Genomic DNA, 21,244 nt, shown 5'->3' with positions numbered 1-21,244 from the left:
AAGAGGAAATGATGTTCAACTTATTAATCAGAGGGATTAAAATACAAATGACAACTAGATGTTGTTTTATGTGATTTGCATTGATTTTTTTAAAAAAACTGGAAGTCTGATAATACTAATGTCTGTGGAATGTGGAGAGGAATGAATTGTTTTATGGTAGTAGTTGAAATTTGATTTGACTCAATCATATTTTGAAAATAATTGTTATTGTCTTATTGAGAAAGTAAATATTTGAAACAGCATTTTTCTATCAGGTGTATGATGGATAGAAAGCTGTATTTTTAAACTATGAATCTCAGTTTCAATGATCTTACCAGCATTTTAAAAAATTAAATGGAACAATATAGACTACAAAACAATACATATAACTAATATATGTAATAAAGCAAAATATGGAATTAGAAAATGGATGGTAGAGTGCCATTTAAATTGGTAAAGATTGAAGGAATTTGCTTCAGTTTTATTTATATGTGTGCCTGTGTCTGTTACCTGTGTTAAAATGTGTACCTCACTGTCTATTGTGGCCTAAAGATTTGAAATCTACTGCCTACTAAGGTCATTACATGTGTTAACAAAATGCAGCAGCGGGAATGTTCATGATAGCATTGCTATTAAGAGCAAAACAATCAAATTACCTACAAATAACAAAAATATCTGTTGAAGGAAGAATAGCTAAATAAATTGACACAATGAGATAATAGCTAAATAAATTGTGGTATACTGACACAATGAAATACTATTCAGCAGTGAAACAATGATCAGCAGCTTCACATAGAAACAAGAGTGAATCTTAGAAACCTAATGGCCCATTGAAAAACATCACCTTGTAAAAGGATATACATAGTATGATTCCATTTCATAATACTTAAAAACAATCAAACCAAACAATTTCATTGTCTTTGTATACCACATATATACATTTGTTTTAATGAAAATAAAAACTAGACAGCCTTTTTTTGGCTTAAGATTTTTTTCAGAACTAGAATTTTATCACAAATTATAATAGTTTTTCATGATTTCGGGTGATTCGAGCCAAGTACCTTTTCCAATTTATGGATCTTGAAGGAGGATCATGGAATCTATTTCTTGCAAAGGTGATAAGGTGTCCCCTCAGTCCCCCAGAGATTAGAAAAATTGCACCCCTAAAGGAGATGAAATGCTTTTTGATGGAAACACTAACTCACCCAAATTAGATCATCAGTGACTTTTCTTTAATACAGGAGGGTAAACAAGTTATAGAACTTCTTAAAATCAGAAACAAAATGCTCCTTAGGAAACAGAGGAAGGTAAAGGTCTAGAGCAGCTTAGAAGTGAGAAAAAGTGAAGGTTTTTCCCCGTGTAGAAAGAAAAGCAAACTTTAATGAGTCAAAGATTAATAGTTAACTTTATTGAGACTAGATTGCTTAACTTATCTTTGGCTCTTTTTGTTTCTTTAAATATTGCTCCAAGTTGTGTGTTGACTTAATTTTATAAGGACAAAAAATTGCTAATGATTTAGACAACTCAGTTATATGTTTATGGGAAAATAACAAATGGCCAAATAAAGCTTTTGTCTTAATTGAATTACTTATGTTTGAGAAAAATCTCCAGCCCACACTGGGCCTAAGCAGTCCTAAAAGGATATTTTCATTCACTCCTTCACAGCTTTGAAAATTTGGGTACATTGTGCCTGTCACATTGGACTGGCCTTGAATTTTACCAATCTTGTAAATGTTTTTTATGAAACATAAAAAATTCAGACATTTTTATGAATCGCATCAGTTAAAAAATTTCGAGCCTATGTTTTTAAAATATGCATATTTGTTTATAAATTATACATATATGTTTATGTATATTATTATATACATGTATGTCTCTCTATGTGTTAAATCTAAAGTCTAATTTTGTTCTAATTTTAGATTTTTAAAAATCCAAGTTCTGATGTTCTTTTGTTTTCCCCAAGTACTTGCCTTACACTTTCCCTGGACAGGGTAGCCTATACTTTGAAGACTGATGCTCTAACTTCAAATTATCTCCTAAACCCATAGAGCCAGTTTGTGTTTCTTCGCCAACAGCTGTGTTTTTGATACAATTAGCATAGTTTCTCAAGGGATGGATCAATAACCAAGGTGAATTATAGTGCTGTCATACCTTCACCTTCCAAAATGAGGTATTAGGAGGAAGGCTTAAATTCCCAACCAGCCCTACTGTGCAATAAAACCCAGCAAGATCAATCTGAAATCTACCTGTTTCTTCACAGAGTTTGCTAGCGTTGTCTGTTTTTTGTTTTGTTTTGTTTTGTTTTTGAGACGGAGTCTCGCTCTATCCCCCAGGCTGGAGTGCAGTGGCGTGATCTCTGCTCACTGCAAGCTCCGCCTCCCGGGTTCACGCCATTCTCCTGCCTCAGCCTCCCAGGTAGCCGGGACTACAGGCGCCCGCCACCATGCTCGGCTAATTTTTTGTATTTTAAGTAGAGACGGGGTTTCACCTTGTTAGCCAGGATGGTCTCGATCTCCTGACCTCGTGATCCGCCCGCCTCAGCCTCCCAAAGTGCTGGGATATTGCCTGGTTTTAAAGACCCGTCTTAAGATTGTTAGGTTGTCACAGAGAAAGTGGGACTGGGCACCCAGCCTGGAGAAATAGCAAACAACTGTTTGTTTTTTTAACTAGACCACTGCTTCTCTATAGTTCCGATGTTAAGAGCAGAGCTGAAGGAAGTGATAACAGCTGGGTACTGTGGTGCTTGCGTGCAGTCCCAGCTACTTGAGAGACTGAGGAAGGAAGATCGGATCACTTGAGCCCAGAAATTTGAGTGGAGCCTGGGCAACATAGCGAGACCCTGTCTATATAAAAAGGAGGTGATATTATAGTAAAAAGCAAGACATTAAATAAAGGGAAGAGATGAAGTAAGAAATACCAGCGAGGCTTCCATAAGACTAGTAAGCTCCAGAGCTGAGTTGCTGTTCCCTACTGCTAAAACTGATTTATCCTCAACACAAATTTATAAAAGGGATGACAACAACACAGTTACAGTTTTTTATTAAAATATTTTATTTCTGCCCACATGAATAACTGCTTTTAAGTTGGATACTCAAAGCAACCACACAACCATACTTAGAACAGTTCATGAGATAGATTATAAATTAATATTGTAAACAGCACAGTAGTGGCCAATAATTGGTGAAGCATATTAACTCTACAGTTCTGACTACAGAAAAATATTTTTTTAAAAAGGCCAGAAAAATAGGCGAGGATAAAGGCAGAAAGATATGTGGCAAGTAGTATACAGAGACATTCTAATATTGGTTGAAATTAAAATTTTATAAAAAGGACTTATTTCTTGTAAGAGTGGTGGAAAAATTTACTTTTATTAATAAGGTCAAGGAGAGAAGGCTAAAAGGGCTGGTTCTGAGAATCCCCTTGGGTAATTTTGACAAAATGAAATTTACCCTGTGGCCATGTCATTATCCCCTATCCCTTCTACTGAGCAGTTCTCTCAAACCCTGCCTCAACCAAGTCAGCTAACCACAAATACACATTCTGATGTGAAACAAGCCATCCCTCTCTAACTCCAGCCTCCAGACTTAGCTGAGTCTATTTGTGTGATCTCGAACTTCTTCCTATGCTTCTGATATGGTTTGACTGTTTCTTCATCGAAATCTCATCTTGAATTGCAGTTCCTATTGTCCCCACATGTCCCGGGAGGAACTCAGTGGGAGATACTTTAATCATGGAGGCAGTTTTCCTCATGCTGTTCTCTGATAATGAGTGAGTTATCATGAGATTTGATGGTTTTATAAGGGGCTTTTTCCCCTTTTGCTTGGCACTTCTCCTTTCTGCTGCCATGTGAAGAAGGATGTGTTTGCTTTCCCTTCTGCCATGATTGTAAGTTTCCTGAGGCCTTCCCAGCCATGCTGAACTGTGAGTCAATTAATTCTCTTTCCTTTACAAATTACCCAGTCTCAGGAATGTCTTTATTAGCAGCGTGAGAATGAACCAATACAGCCTCACTGAACAAAGAAACATCTACTTGAGATTTTATTTTTATGTCTCCCTAATAAGATTTCCTAAGGGGTGGGCTTGGTATAAAGATTTATTTACATTTATTTACCTTCTAATGTGCCTTATGTAACTTACTTTAAAAAATTGAGTGTGTACATTTAAGGCATACAACATGATATTATGGCATACTTAAAGATAAAAAAGGCTATGATAGTGAAGCAAATTAATGCATTCATCATTTCTCATAGTTACTCATTTAGATTTTTTTTGTGACAAGAGCAGCTAAAATCTACTTTTTTAGCAGGAATCCCAAATTCAGTACAATTTTATTACCTATAGACCTCATATTGTACGTTAGATCTCTGGACTTGTTTATCCTATGTATCTGTTACTTTTAAACACTTTTGTTTATTTGTTTGTTTGTTTGAGACAGGACCTTGCTCTGTCACCCAGGCTGGAGTTTAATGGCATAGTCATGCTCACTGAAGCCTCAAGCTCCTGGCCTCAAGCAATTGTTCTGCCTCAGTCTCCCATGTAGCTGGGAGCACAGACATGTACTACCACACCTGGCTAATTTTTTATGTTTTGTAGAGGGGAGGGTCTAGCTTTGTTGCCCAGTCTGGTTTCAAACTCCTGGGCCCAAGTGATCGTCCTATCTTGGCCTCTTGGCAGCAAAGTGATGGGATTATAGGCATGAGCCACAGTGCCTTATATCTGCTACTTTGTATCCTCTGTTCTACCTCCCCATTTTCTCTCCGTGCCTACCACCAGTAACCACTGTGTCTGTATATTTGATTTTTTTTCCAGATTATACATATAAGTAAGATTCTGCAATATTTTTCTTCTGTGTCTGGCTTATTTCACTTAGCATAGTATCTTCCAGCCTCATCTATGTTGTAGCAAATGGCAAGATCTCATTAATTTTAAGGCCAAATAATATTCCATATTATTTCTTTATTCATTTGTCCACTTACAGACACAGATTGTTTCCATATTTTGGCTATTGTGAATAATGCTGTAATGAACATGAGAGTGCAGATATATTTATTAGGTAGTAACTTCATTTCCTTTGGAGCCCAGAGGGATTGCTGGGTCATATCGTAGTTCTATTTGTAATTACTTTAGAAACCTCCATACTGTTTTTCCCTCATGGCTGTACCAATCTATGTTCCCACTAACAATGTGCAGGAGTTCCCTTTTCTCTACACCGTTGCCAACATTTGCTTCCTTTTGACTTTCTGTCAATAGTTATTTTAACAGGTGTGGGATGGTATCTCACAGTGGTTTTGATTTACATTTCCCTGATGATTAATAATGTCGAACATATTTTCCTATACTTTTTGGTGATTTTTATGTTTTCTTTGGAGAAATGCCTATTCAGGTCTCTCACCTATTTTTTAATCAGATTGTTCTTCTACTTTTGAGTTATATGAGTTATTTACACATGTTAGATATTAACCTGTTATCAGATATATGGTTTGTAAATATTTTTTCCAATCCATAGGCTGCTCTTTCGTTTTGTTGATTGTTTCCTTTGCTATGAAGAAGCTTTTCAGTTTGATATAGTCCCATGTATTTATTTTTGCTTTTGTGGCCTGAGCTTTGAATGTAAAAATTGCTGCTGTGAGTTTAGTTCTAAGTAAACTTTTATTTTTCTCTCTCTTACACATGTCATGCTTTCTACTTTAGGAATTGCTTTGATATAGCAGAAGAAAATGGGTCTGATATGCAAGTCAACTACAATTCTGTGTATTAGAGTGCTTAGCAAACTATTAACTGCCATAAAAATGTTAACTATTGCTCTTTTTAACTTTAAAATTTTGTTCCATCCTATTTCAGAGAGAATTTAAAGTTACATATATATGTACACACACACACACACACACACACACACACAGTGTAACATGGCAGCTATTGGCCACATGTGGCTATTGAGTACTTAAAATGTGGCAAGTCTGAATTGACATGTGCTGTAAGTGTAAAATATGCATCATATTTCAAATACTTTATATAAAAAAATTGTAAAATATCTCATTAACAATTTTTATATTGATTATATGTTGAAATGTTAGTATTTTGGATATATTGATTTAAATAAAATATATTATGAAAATTAATTTCACCTTTTTCCTTTTACTATTTTTAACGTGGATACTAGAAAATAAAAAATTACATTATGTGGTGGGTCACGTTATATTTCTACTGCATAGCACTGATATATAAAATGCAGTGAATCAAATTTAACACTTCATTTGTAACATCATTAAACATTTCTTTGGCAAGAGTAGCTCAGGTACTTTATTCTAAGCACAATGTTCAGTGCAGTGTTGGATAAATCTAGATCAAGGACTGAGTATCCATGCTCCTAAGTTTTGAGATTTTTCTGCTACCCAGCCAGAGGGAGTAGACGAATCTCTATGACTGGAAACTGTCGGAAGATTAGGTGGTGGTGCTGAATACAATTGATGAATGTTTCTCTAATTGATTTATTTTGGCAGTAGTAGATCGTCTAAATGATGAAATGGATCAGAGCCTCTGTACCATTTGCTTTAGTTAAGAGAGGGAAAAAAATGTTCCCACCCTACAGTTTTTGGACTGAATTGCAGAAATGGGAATTAAAGAGGCTCATTTCCACACTGAACTGCCCTGGATCCTGCAGGAGTCAGAGGGCAATGGAAGCATATAATTACTGGTGTTAAAGAGAAATCGCCATGGGATCTAGCTTGGTTTCAGTGTGATTTAAAAGGTTAGACTTTGAGCATATTTAATTTGATTAAGTGGCTTTTGGGAGGAGTGGGAGCTGGAAGAGACAATGTTCTCTGTGATAAGGTACTTACTGAATATAAATGGAAACGCATATTCAGATACCTCGTTGTAAAATACTAGAACATCTAGTTTCCGCCTCAACTCCCTGCTCCACACTGAAAGTCTAGCAGCTAAATTATGAGCTGTCATTTACTCCTTGCTGATGGTTATGATGAAGACTGAAGTATAAAATGAAAATCACAAATTATAAACCATTTTTTAAATATCTAAAAAATGCAACAAATTTTTTTACCTCATAATGCATGATAAGCATTTAATTTTCATTTTTATCTGCTCAGTATATCAATAGAATAAAATTCACTGAAATGTTTCAGATAATTTGCTATCTTGACTGAAAAAAGATGATGGATGACCCCATCTATAGATTTCTTAGCCCATCTTTGAGACTTCACTTATCAAAACCTTCCTATAAATATATATAATAAATATAATATTTATGAAAATTATATTTATTAAATAATTTCATTTTATTAATGTATTAAGTTACTTATTCTGACTTGTTCTGAACATGCTGCTTTGTTTCACGACCTATCTTTTTCATCTGTTATGGAATACTGACATCATTTCAGCTGGACATCTTCCCAACGTTCAATTAGATATTTAAAATCAGTCTTCTCCAAAGAGTGTGAGTTCCATGAACAGGGACAAGATGTCTGCAGTTCTTAACAAATTATGTGAAATATAATAACTGGCAAATAAATTTTGTTGAATTAGTGGACAAACAAATGAATAAATCTAGTAATAGTGACACAAGAGGAAATTAACACTACCTATAGGAAGGAACATAAGTTGGTGTCAGTGTTTCAGTGGGTAACAAACATTATCTACACATTTTAAATATTCATGGCTGTTGATTCAGAAATTACACTTGAAAAATGTATACAATGTAGACATATTTATTCAACTGTAAGACTATATATATTTACACTCACCCCCACAATTATATTTACTGTAGCAGTTTGCAATTAAAAAAAAAAACTAAAAAGTCAAACAGAAGGGGATAGAGAAAATAAAAACAGACACTATACAACTCTTTCAAAAGATGGGATAGCTCTGTATATACTCACAAAGACATAGATAACATTGAGGAACCAATAGATATCAATAGATAAATGTTTATTAACATTTATGGAGTCTTTTCTATGTTTCAGGTAACCATCTAAGCATTTTAAATTCATGGAAATATTTAATCTTCACATTATGCCTATAAGGTAGGTACTATTATTGCTCTCATTTTACAAAAGAAATTGAGGTAAAAACAGATTAGATAATTTGCCAGGAATCATACATTTAGTAATTAGCAGAAACACTATTGAAACTCAGGTTGCCTTGCTATATGAACTGAAGTTTTGTTTTGTTTTGTTTTGTTTTTGAAATGGAGTCTCGCTCTGTCACCCACACTCAAGTGCAGTGGCGTGATCTGGGCTGACTGCAACCTCCTCCTTCCAGGTTCGAGAGATTCTCCTGCCTCAGACTCCCAAGTAGCTGGGATTACTGGCACCTGCCACCATGCCTGGCTAATTTTTGTATTTTTAGTAGAGACGGGGTTTCACCATGTTGGCCAGGCTGGTCTCGAACTCCTAACCTGAGGTGATCCGCTCGCCTTGGCTTCCCAAAGTGCTAGGATTACAGGTGTGAACCAGCATGCACAGCATGAACTAAAGTTTTAATAAACTCTCATTCTCTTTTAAAAAATTAATAATTTCATATATGTGTCTGTAAAATGTGGAAAGTAATATTTCCAAACTCATAGGGTTTTTTGGTTCTTGTGAGGGTTAAAATAGATAATGAATGTAAACTCTTAATTCAGTATCTGCCATATCCTTATAAAACAAATGTTTATATATTTATATTATACATGGAAATAAACACATATACAAATAATAGTATAAAAGTGGGTTTATTTTGGTCTTAAGATACTAACAAGCTTTATATCCTATGTTAATACATGTTTGATTTATTTACAAAAAGCATTTATTATTTTATTATCTAAAAAATAGTTTAAGATTACATATAAAAATGACCATGATTAGCCAAGAGTAGTAATTATTTCTGGCTATTATAAATACCTTCTAAAAATGTACTGATTGTTGTTAAGTCATTTCTACAAAACAATTCATTTGTAAATATTCATTGTATAAAAACATAAGACTCAGTTCAAGAGGACAAAAATTTTATTTAGTTTCTGTCATCTTCTTTATGATAGCTATTTATAGAAGTATCTTGTTTTATAGTATGATGCATATTAAATTTGATTATAGAATTGTAAGTACTGATTTTTTTCTCCAATAAAATTGATATCAAAGTCCAAATTGTGCCCTCTTCTACCCAAACTATCACATATTCTCACAAGTAAAACTCTCAGCTATGACTTTGACACACAGTGCCTATTCTTTGTTGAAAAATAGAACATTCTCTTGTAAGACTTATTTTGAGAATTTCTTTACACTTTCCCATGTGGTTCTGTTTCGTTATAATACATTTATTCCATATTGCTATTTAGAATTCAAATGTAGGGATTTTATTGTTTTAATTCTGGAGCAGACAATTTCCAAAATTAACTCAATTTAGACTAGTTAACTGGAGCAATATTTTTCATGGGAAGGACTCTACTTTATTCCCATTGCTTCCTTTCTGCAGGTGATATCTTATTAAAAATAATGTCTTGTTTCTTTTAATGAATGCCCTAAAGAAAAATATGGACAGAAGTAAAAGACAAAAACAATATGTGTCAGTCATGAAGGAGAACTGAAATCCAGCTTATAGAGCAAAAATTAAATGACTAAAAATGTCTAATCAACAGTGACATTTTCAAGTACCAGCTGTGCAGCGTGGCAGGATTTGTCTTAGTCTGCAAGAGAGCTTGTATAGCTCGTCAGAGCCTAGTGAGTAAAGTATAGAACCAGGCGTCAGGAAATACGTTGATGGTCCCAATTTTCGCACTCTAGGCAGTAATAAATCCAAGAATATTTATCTGTTTTAAGCGGATGTTGATAACTGAAAGTAAATCATTCATGAAGTAATAAAAACTAACATTTTTATAAGTATGAGCTCTGAAAGCTGAACATCTCCGATGTATCATAGATATTTATTTCAGGAACCAGTTTCGTGACTCTGTATAAGTTACCTAATTTTTCTATGGCTTAGTATCTTCATTGACAAGATGGGGATTATAATAGTATCTATCTCTTATGGTTGTATGCAGATTCAATGAGTGAATGCATGGAAGGAATGTAGCACAATAGTTTCAACACACTTTAATTATTAATAATATTATCTATAAATTATGATATGTGTCCCTAGATACTTCATCACTAAGTTAAAATTAACATGATTTTCTCATGTGGGACCAGTATCTAGTTTACAGAAACAAAAGCAATTTCCTCATATATAACTGAAAGACCTCTTGGATAGAATCTATGGTAGACTTGCCGTACACCCAATATGAGTACATAGTGATCAAAAATATAATAATTTCTATGCAAAGAAGAAATTCCTCTCATTCTTTTGGGAATTCGTATAAATAAAAATAAAATTATATCTAATTTTCTAATCCAATGCAAAGACTAGAAATTGTGGCATACTGAAACAATGCATTGTATAAAGATGTTTATGTGTCTGGTGGTTTAGTGATGATGGCTTAAATAGATTAAATCATTTGATGAAAACACTTTCCCATCCTGCCTTTTGCATTTTAAATAAACATAGAAATTTTTGTAAATTATTGCTTGAAGATAAACATTAAATTTCTGTTTTATAATACATATTTATTATATAAACATGTTATAATAAAGTTTATTATTGTTGAGTATGTGAATCATTTCTAAATGTGTTATCTTAAATGCCACTTTGAATAACAAATACGGGCACAAATATATTTCAGTATACGATATCATTCAGGAGGGCTTCCAAACTGAAAACTGTTGAATCAAAAAGAGTAAATATTTTAAGACTTTTGATACCAAAACAAATGGCTTTTCAAATAATAGTCCTGTATTAGAATTCCTGTTTTACCATATATCCATCAACATTGGACTTTTTTATATTTTAATAAGTTTATGAGCAAAAAGTATTATATTTATTGTTTTTTAAAAAGTTTTTATTTATTATTTTGAATACTTTTCGATATACTTAATAGGTCTTTTTAAAACTAAGATTCAGATTTTTTTTACCTTATCTATTGAAAGGGTTTTTCACTCCATTCTTAGGGTAAAATTAACACTTTATATACCTAATGCTAAATGACGAGTTAATGAGTGCAGCGCACCAGCATTGCACATGTATACATATGTAACTAATCTGCACATTGTGCACATGTACCCTAAAACTTAAAGTATAATAATAATAAAATAAAAAAATAAAAAAACACAAATGAAACCTAGAAAAAAAAAAGACAGGAAATATGTATTATATATGCTACAGTTTTCCTGTTTGTTGTTTTCATATTATGTCTTTTTTTAAAACACCCATAATGTAAAATTTTATATGGCTTAACTTTCTGCATTGCATATTATTTTGTGATGCAAGGTATTATTTTTTTTCAAGAAGATAAGTTTGCTTTACTGTCTGATTATTTTCTTAAAAATGTTTAATGTTTGATTAAATAAAACAAACTTTTAGTACTATAGAAAGCTTTCAATATGTGCAAGGACATAACTATATACAACTTCAAAAACACATTTTTCCAGCTCCAAGTAAAGTGATGTTGAACATCCTGACTATAGTTCGGTTATAGGAAATTTCCTGGATGGCCAATGTTTTCCTTGGCTTAGAAAAAAAAGTACAACTGAAAAATATAAATAAGACCTTCGATGAGTTGGGAATCGTAAAATTGCTATCTGAAGTTCAGTCATCGGCATCTTGGGAAGTTTACAATAGCTATAAGAGTTCAACAAGCAAAACGAAACCCTTGAATATTTAAACTTCAGTCACCCAGGAGGAGTATGCAGGGCCACAGTTGGTCTATCAAAAATAAAAGCTATTCCTAAGGTGGTAGAACTTGGTATCTGGTTTCTTAATATTTAAGAAAATATGTAACTGACATTATATTAGGGTAGATATCATATAATTTAACCTAAATCCATTTATATAAAATATTTCAAAATTTAATCTTAAATTCATCTATATGAGTTAAGTATTAAAATTATCTCTTTTAAAAATCAGGAAATTGAGGCTCTCAGTTTTGTAAGCAAATAATGTCTTTGTGTTTCTGGTCTGGCAGGCCTGTAAGGAACTTAGAAATCAGCTCCTAACAATAAAAAGGGAAACAAAATGAAAAATCAACAAATCTTTTTAAATCCATCCCAGAAGTGAAGTCACAGGGCAAACCACTGCCCCCGGATTGGAGAGACAGACAGGCAAATACAGAGAATCACAATTTACCAGAGCAGAAACTCATAAGCAGAAACTTCTGCAGGAACCAGTGCCAGGGATAGGAAATCTGAACTGTTATTGAAAAATTGCTGGAGGTTAAATGTAGACAAGTCTGGAAATAAAAAATACTCCAGGGAGACCCAGTCATCAGCGCACCCACACAGCTTTATTAATGGTACCCCTAGGAGCCCTACCAGATTCTCATAGTTAATATCAGATAAAAGTTTTCTCTTACTTATGGGAAGTGACTATTTCAAAACACACTGAAGCATTCTGTTCTTCTTAATAAGGCCTGCTTTCAGGAGAAAATATTTTATCAGAGTCTAATATGCTGGGGTTTTATCAAAGCCTAACCTATCTACAGGAAAGAAATACCTAACTCCAGCCTCCTCTAGCCATCCTGTCCCATCTATGAGGGATATGGGGTACTCAGAAGCACTGATAAGGTTCACAGTCCAGGAACACAGCCTCACCAAACACTGAAACTTAATCATAGGAATATATAACTCTTCTTTTCTCTTACATCTTACTACTACATTACTAAAGGTCAATTTACTAATAGAACTTCAAGGGGAAATAGATGAATCTACTCTTATAGTAGAAGATGTTAAACCTTCTCTATCAGAAATGGAGAGATCCAGCAGGCAGATAATCAGTAAGAACTTAGTTGAACTCAAAGGCAGCATTGATCAATTGAACCTATTGACATTTACAGACTACTTAATCTAACAAAATCAGTTTAAATGTTCTTTTCAAGCTTACATGAAACATTCACCAAGATGGACCATATTCTGGGACATAAAATACACCTCAATGAACTCAACAAATGTAAAGGAATTGAACTTATACTATTCTGCTGTTACGCCACAATAGAATTAAACTAAGACTCAGTAACAGCAAGATAGCTGGAAAATTCCAAAATATTAGGAGATTATAACACGCTTCTAAATAACACATGGATTAAGGAAAAAATCTTGAAATTAAAACATATATTGAACTAAATAAAATGAAATGAATCCAACTTCCAAAATTTCTGGGATTTTGATACATTAGAAGAAAGAAAAAAATAATAGACTGATAACTCTCTTGAACATAAATGCAAAAATCCTCAACAAAATATTAGCAAACTATACCCAGCAATATATAAAGATAAGTATGCACCATGACCAAGTGGAATCTGTGCCAGGTATGCAAATTTGTTTCAACTTTTGAAAATTAAGTAATGTCATCCATCACATCATGCTAAAGAAGAAAAATCACATGATCTTATCAATACATGCAAAAAAATTCATCAAATGCGATATTTATTCATGATAAAAATTATCAATAAATTAAAAATAGAAAAAACTTACTCAACTTAATAAAGAGCATCTATGAAAACTCTCCAGCTAATATCATACTTAATGGTGAGAAACTCAAAATTTTCTTGTGAAGATCAAGAACAAGACAAGGGTGTCCCCTGTCAGCATTGCTTTTCAATATTGTGCTAGATACATTAGCTATGTAATAACACAATAAAAAGAAATACAAAGTATACACATTATGAAGGAATGAATCAAATTTCTTGTTCTCAGACGACAATATCATCTGTATAAAAAAATCAAAAATTGCCAAAAAACTCTTGAAACTAATAAGCAATTACTACAAGGTTACATGATATAAGATTAATATATAAAGTCAATTGCTTTCCTATGTAGCAGTAATAAAAAATTGGAATTTGAAATTCAAAACACATTTTTATTTACATTAGCACCCCAAAATTAAGTACTTACTCATATATCTAACCAAATATCTATAAGATGTATATGAGAAAAATTACAAAACTGATGAATGTTATCAAAGAAAAAATAACAGAGATATTCCTTGCTCATATGAATAGAAAGAGTCAACATTTTCACGATGTCATTTCTTCCCAACTTAATCTATAGAGTCCGTGCAATCTCAGTTAAAATTCCAGTAAGTTAATTTGTGGATATTGACAAATTGATTGTAAAATTTACATAGAGTGGATGAAGACCCAGGATTGCCAACCCAATACTAAAAGAGAAGAACAAAGTTAAATGAATGACACTAACAGACATCAAGACTTAGTTATAAAGCTACAGTAATCAAAACAATGTGGTATTGGGGAAAAAAAACAGACAAATAATCAGTGGAACAGAACTGAGAACCTAGAAAGAAACCATGTAAATATAATCAACTGATATTAGACCAAGGAATAAAAACTGCAGTAGAACAAAGATAGTATTTTCAACTAACAGTGGTAAAATAAATGGACATCCATATGCAAAAAATCAAGATACACACCTTACACCCTTCACCAAATTAACTCAAAATGAATTATAGACCTAAATGTTAAACACCATACACTAAAATTCCTAGGAGATAACTGGAGAAAACCTAATTCATCTTGCATATGATGATGATTTTTAGATGCAACATCAAAGGCAAGATCAATGAAAGAAATAATAGTTAAGCTGACTTCCTTAAAATTAAAATCTTTTGCTCTGGAAAGAACAATGTCAAGAGAATAAGACAAGACACAGACTGGGAGAAAGTACTTGCAAAAGATACATTTGATAAAGGACTGTTACCCAAAATATACAAAGACTACTTAAAACTGAACAATCAGAAAATGAACAATCCTGATAAAATAAATGAACAGAAATCTCACCAAAGATCTATAGATGGTGATTAAGTATATGAAAGATGTTTAACATTATACATCATTAGGAAATTGCAAATTAAATCAAAAGGACATACTGCTACACATCTATTAAAATGGCCATTCTAAAGCACTGTCAATACCAAATGCTGATGAGGATGTGGAATAACAGGAATTCTCATTCATTGATGGTGGACACGCACAATGGTACAGCCATTTTGGAAGACGGTTCAGCATTTTCTTACAAAACAAAATATTCTCTTACCTACGGTCCAGCAATTGCATTTCATCCTACTTACCAAATGAATTGAAAACTTATATTTACACAAAAATCTGCACACAGATGTTTTAGGAACTTTAGTCATAAATGCCAAAAGTTGGAAGCAACTAAAATGTCTTTTAGTAGCCAAATAAATAAACTGTGGAACAGCTAGAGTTTGGAATATTATTTAGCATTAAACAGAAATGAGTTATCAATCCCTGAAAAGAAACAGAGGAAATATAAATGCATATTACTAAGTGAAAGACAGCAATCTGAAAAAGCTACATATTGTATGATTCCAACTGTATGACATTCTTAAAAGGGCAAAACTATAGAGACATTAAAAGGATTAGTGGTAGCTAGTGGTTTGGGATGCATAGGTAGAGAACAGAATATTTTTAGGGTAATAAAAGTATTCAGTATGACTGTAGAATAGTGGATACATGTCATTATACACTTCCCCAAATCCATCAGATGTACCCAAAGTAAACGCTAATGTAAATGATGAACTTTTAGTGATAAGGATGTGTCAATCTAGATTCTTTGATTGTAGCAAATGCATTCATATGGTGCAGAATGTCAATAGTGGGAAACTGTATGTGTGTAGGAACAAGAAGTATATGGAAACTGTCTGTACTTTTTGTTAAATTTTCCTTCGAACCTAAAACCCCTATAAAAATAAAGTTTATTAATTATTTTTAATAGCAAGCAACTTGTCTAAGTAACACCATTAGGAATTAAAAATAGGTCTATCTTACTCCAAATATTTCTGCTATGCCATTATGACTATGAATCTTAACAATCCTTTCCAGAGTGCTTAATAAATGTTTAATGTTTTAATAATTACGTATTTTTCAAAATTGTGTCATCAAAAATTTATTTTGACTTACTCATGCAGTGAGATGTTTAATACTTTTGAAATATCTACAAAACAATTTTTACAATAAAAAGAGGTGAGACCCCATCTCTTTTTATTTAAAAAATTGTTTGGTAGATGTTTCAAAAGTATTGAATAGAACTTCCTTTCTTACTCTAATATATCTTTCTCATCAGATATTACATTATTTTCTTCATATCTATTTCACTCCACTGGTATATTCACCCGTTTTCGTGTCAGTAATATAGTGTTTTAGTATTTATACACATAAAATTTACTTCAATAGTTTTTTTTCCACAAATATATTTGCCATTCACTCACATTCATTGTAAAACTGCCTATTGCACATTTCCCATCCTGTGTTGAAGGCTGTGGATGAAATGGTGAGCAAAATAGGCGTGGGCATTCTAATACTTGACTCTTATACAGTCTTGTGAAGAAGATAGTTATCAATCAAACAAACATAATTTCAAATCATGATAAGTGCTGTGAAGAAACTAATTTATACTTTTATAGGAACACTTAGGCAATGGACAAAATCTACACTTTATAATCATGGAAATCTTCCTGATGTGGTAATAATTGAGTTTATGAATAAGCAAAATGCAAAGTCAATTATGCAAAAATGATGGAAGAGCACATTCAAATACTTAGGGCAGAGCAAAGAGTACATGCAATAGCCATGCAATGGAAGGGAACGTGAGTTGTTCAAATCACTGATTCAAGGCCAGCATGGCTAAAACAGATAGCATGGGCATGCAGTTTAAGACACAATATTAGAGGGTGGCAGGAAGTTGACCATATAAAACTACACATGCCAATGTAAGAATTTTTTGTATTTCTCCTAAAAGTAATGTGAGGATATTAGAGACTGATCTCACTCTGGACTGTGGCATAGAGAATTCTTTGGAAGAGGAAGAAAACTGATAAGAGACCAGACCATCAGAAGACCATGGCAGAGTCCAGGTGAAAGATTATAGTGACTTGATCTAAGTTGTTTTTTGAGAAAATTAAGAAAATTGAATAGATTTGAAATATATTCAGGAGGTGAAGCCAAATGCTTTGAAGATGAATTTCTGAACACTGTTGAACGTGATGGAGGTATCATGGGTGATTCAGGATCTCTTGTGAAACTGGATGGAATTATGGTAAGTTCTATGGAGAAAAGAGACTATAGAGAAGCACCTGTTCAGAAAATAGATGAGTTCAATTTCGGATCCATTGCTTTAAGGGGCCTTTGTGATTTATTCTTCAGTCTATGTAGATGTTGAGCAGACTGTGGAATATAGTGAGCGCACAGACTATATAGAATATAGTTCTAGCCCAAAAATACAGTAGCAAATCATAGAATTTTTTAAAAATGTTGGATAATGATTTGGATATTTTCTAGGAACTGCATATTGAGTCTTGAAAGTATCTAGTACATGTACTGGAGGAACTCCAATATTTAAAACCAAAGAAGAAATCTGATGAAGGAGACTAAAAGGAAGCCTCTAGATGAAGAAGAAAAATGAAGAGAACATTATTACATGGGAGCTAAGAAAAGAGACTGTCGCAAAAAATAGGAGTTTGATCTTCTTGATGAACATTATAATCATTTTGTCAGGATTTGGTCCAGAATTGGATTACTTTTATAAATACTGCCAAGACGATGATAACCTGTATTTAGCTTAATGTAAGGATATCATAGAAATGTCTGACAAATGTCTGTATGCATTCATGTTCATTATGCACTTCCTCATGGATTCTTCTGGATGATTATAATTATTTAAATTATTGAGCTGGATGCTTAGTTTAGTATTCATTTTCTCTTTATCCTCACAGGCAAAATACAATATACTTTCGTCATGTTTGATGTTTACTGATCATTTAATATTTTGTTAGCAGTATATTAATATAATTTTTTATTGCATTTCTTCAAACTTAGTATTTACTTAAAATACTTTTTATATTTGTAATATGGCCCCAAATTCTCTAATTATGTTTTCTTTTAATTATTTGTTCAGTTCAGCTCTCTGGGGCTGGTTTAAATACATCGAAGAGCTAATCTAGAAAAGGATGCCCTGAAGAATATAAGGAAAAAGTGAAATTTTTCCAGAGAAAGGAGGGAACATACCAATAATATCTAAAAATCTGCATAGGGCCTTTGTCACTGTTCTGTGCTTGTTTAGTGGATTTCATTTCAATTTGTGTTGTAAAGAGAGAATGGCATGGTAAATTTCTGCCTAAAGAATTTATTGATTGTTTTCTTTTAAAAGTAGTCTATAGACCCTAGATGATAAAGTATATTCCCTGTAGGATGTAAGTATTGATAAGTTACTGCATAATGCTATTTGGAGCTTGAGTAGATTAGCAAAGACATAATTAATTTTGTCAGGAAACATAACAGGTAGTCACAGTATCTTAAAAAGAATTGTTTTTATTTGTATAAAGCATTATTTTATGTTAACTGGAATATGAGATTTAAAAAGAAGAAGCAGAAAAATAACTGTAGACATGAAAAGAGAAAAAACATATTTGTATAGTTGTAGCATAAAGGTTGAGGTATCCTATATTGTCTTTGCTTGATTGTGAATATTACACAAAGTGCAAAGACATGTCTTGTGTAAAAACTTCTAAATTCCTACTGGCACATGCACTTTAGCAGATACATAAATTCCATCTCATTTTATCTGCAATGTCTATTCCATCTCTGTAGACAGGCAGAGCAAAGCTTATTATAGTTCACCCTTGTTAATACGTTTTACCTTTCTTAATTTTTAAATAGCATGCTGACAAAGACTCTTTCACTAATAGTCTCTCACTGATAAGACCCTCGAGCCCTCTTGTTGAATTGGCCTTGGTCTTGGCCTTTCATGTTTATCCTGTCTTTGCCAGGCCTGCATATCCCAAATTTAGAAAGAATCCTGCCAAATCAGCTTAGTAATAGTCCCTCTACCTTTGATATCTAATCACCCTTGACATTTGAACAAGTTCCTCATCTCCATCATTGATTTATAAGTACTTGGCTTATCTTTAGCAAGAATCTTACTGGGTCACTTTAGCAAGAATTCCCCTTCCCTTGATGTCTCTTCTTAGTAATTTTCCATCCACAGATCCCTCACTTTGCACATTGGTCATAAATCCCCACTTGTCCTTATTGTATTCAGAGTTGAGCCTGATCTCTCTGCCTTGTTGCAATAGTCTCTAATGAAGTCACCATTACTGTTTTAAAAAGTATTAGAGTAATTTTTTCTTTAACAGTGCTTGGTTATTAAAATGACAGTAAAAAGAATTTAAAATTAAACATCTTAAAATAGGTCTTTGAAGGTAATAATCAAACTAAATAATTGTTCAAAGGAGAAGTAATGAATAAGCTGCATTTTTTTCATCCAGCAGTACTCAATATACTATACTGTGAACTCTCATGGTCTGTTTCTTTACTAATATAGTCTATCATGCTTTGGATGTGTGTGAAGATTCATATATGTGAAGTTCTGTTCATGTGGATGTTTGATAAGAAGCAACTCTTCTCATTTCAATAAAGAAAAAATATAAATGGAAACCACTGAGTTGTGAACGTTGGAAAACTGCAGGGAGGAAATATATAATTTCCTCTCCCCATGTTAGGTTCATGAGTGAGGCCCCTATAAGAAAACACAAGTTAACAAAAGAAAAGCATACAGATTTATTGAATATGTTTTACATGCATGAGAGCCTATGTAAGGAAATAAAGTCCTGAAGAAACAGTGAAATCTGAGTATTTCTTTTGCTAAATTTGATGAATTTCTTTTTCTTTTGCTAAATTTGATGAAGAATCTCAGAGACTCTCAGAAAAATGTAACAGGACAAAAATGGGTATTTCTGCCTATACCCATTTATCCAGTTATAGAGAGGTCACCTCTCAAACGAGGGTCTCATAAACTGTTTCAAGAGAAGCTCAGAAAATCCTCCCTACTTTTTATGACCGGCTGCAGGGAAGGTGAACAAGAAAAGATCTGAATCACCTTCCTGCTTCTGTGATTTCCTCAAATTCCTTCACCTATTCAGTATGTCAAGGTGCCATCTTTTGGAACAGTGTGTCCTGAACCTCATCAAGATACTTCCTTCTTCTACATGCATTGGCAGGAGGGCATTGCTCAAGATTCTCTCTCCTGTTTGTGGTCATAGGTTTAGCCCATGATCCACAACTCATTTTGTTTCATTATTATGTCTGTTTATGAAGAATTGAAGTCCAGACTGTGAAGCACGCTGCACAAAGCCTTTAGTAATCTATTCTTATTTGACTTTTTCTCATCTTCTGACAGTTTGATGCTTGTGTTATGTGCTCAAAGCTTGCATAATCACTCTATGAAATTTAACTTTGTGAAGGCTTTCACACATTCATTCTTATGTCTTTCTCATTTTTTGGAATCCTTCTACATGCACCATATCCATTTCTCTATCTTTGTTTCTTTAACTCATCTGGTCTACAGTTCTCTTACTACAAGTGAACTTAATCTGACCTTGAAAGGGTACAGAATATGCCACAGTGCCGTAAGGATTATCTTGAGCTGAAGACATTTGAGAATCAACAAACGCAGGAAGAGGCTTTCTGCGAACTCCCCTTATCTGCCTGAAAATATATCCTCCAAAAAAAAAAAAATTTAAACTGTCCAAATTCCCTCCCTGGAAGTTTCATTGACCAGGGAAAATTGACTCTTGTCATAGGAAAAGAGATGAGAAGTTTGCACCAAACCTAGACAGTCATTGCCACAAACTCTGTCTCCCATTTATTCTCATAAGGGCCCATTTGTATTTCCTAAAATTTATTTTTCTCTCCCATAAGTGGCTTTTATCCCCTACCCTTTCCGCTATTAAGGTAGCATACAAGTTTCCAAATCTTGCTTCTCATTTTGGTATTCACTTTTTTTTAATGATGCCATAGTGCATGTAAAATTAAAAATTAAATATGTAAGCCTTTTCTTTTGTTTATCTGCTTGTTAGTTTAATACACTGATCCTCCAGCCATTAATAAAAGCATAGAGGAATTTGTTCCTCCCCTGCAGCCTTCTATGATATTTTCCTGATCTCCTCAGTAAGTCTGAGTTGCTTTTTTTCTGTCTTTCCATAACCTTGTATATTTGTCTATCTTCAAAACCAGGTCAGTTTATGATGATATAAAGGAGGACAATTGCTTTTCTTTTACCCAGGTAAAAGATTTTAGGTTCATGACTGAGGCTTCTACAACAAAAGACAGGTTAACAAGAGAAAAGCAAGCAGATTTACAGTCTACCCTCCA

General features: G+C 33.2%; 1 long non-coding RNA gene across 1 annotated transcript in view; it reads left to right on the top strand.

The window, feature by feature from the left end:
* LOC105375149 (uncharacterized) overlaps positions 1-20,933 on the top strand; it is a 69,718-nt gene extending 48,785 nt beyond the window's left edge. Inside the window, exons 2-3 of the long non-coding RNA XR_001745088.2 lie at positions 7,959-8,018; positions 17,375-20,933. This is a non-coding gene — a long non-coding RNA (uncharacterized LOC105375149). The remainder of the gene's footprint in view (positions 1-7,958; positions 8,019-17,374) is intronic.
* Positions 20,934-21,244: the final 311 nt, after the last annotated feature.

The sequence above is a fragment of the Homo sapiens genome, chromosome 7 (assembly GCF_000001405.40).
Source record: "Homo sapiens chromosome 7, GRCh38.p14 Primary Assembly".
NCBI classification, from domain to species: domain Eukaryota; kingdom Metazoa; phylum Chordata; class Mammalia; order Primates; family Hominidae; genus Homo; species Homo sapiens.
The sequence above is the reverse complement of the archived record's forward strand: the minus strand, read 5'-3'. Positions and strand labels throughout refer to the sequence as shown.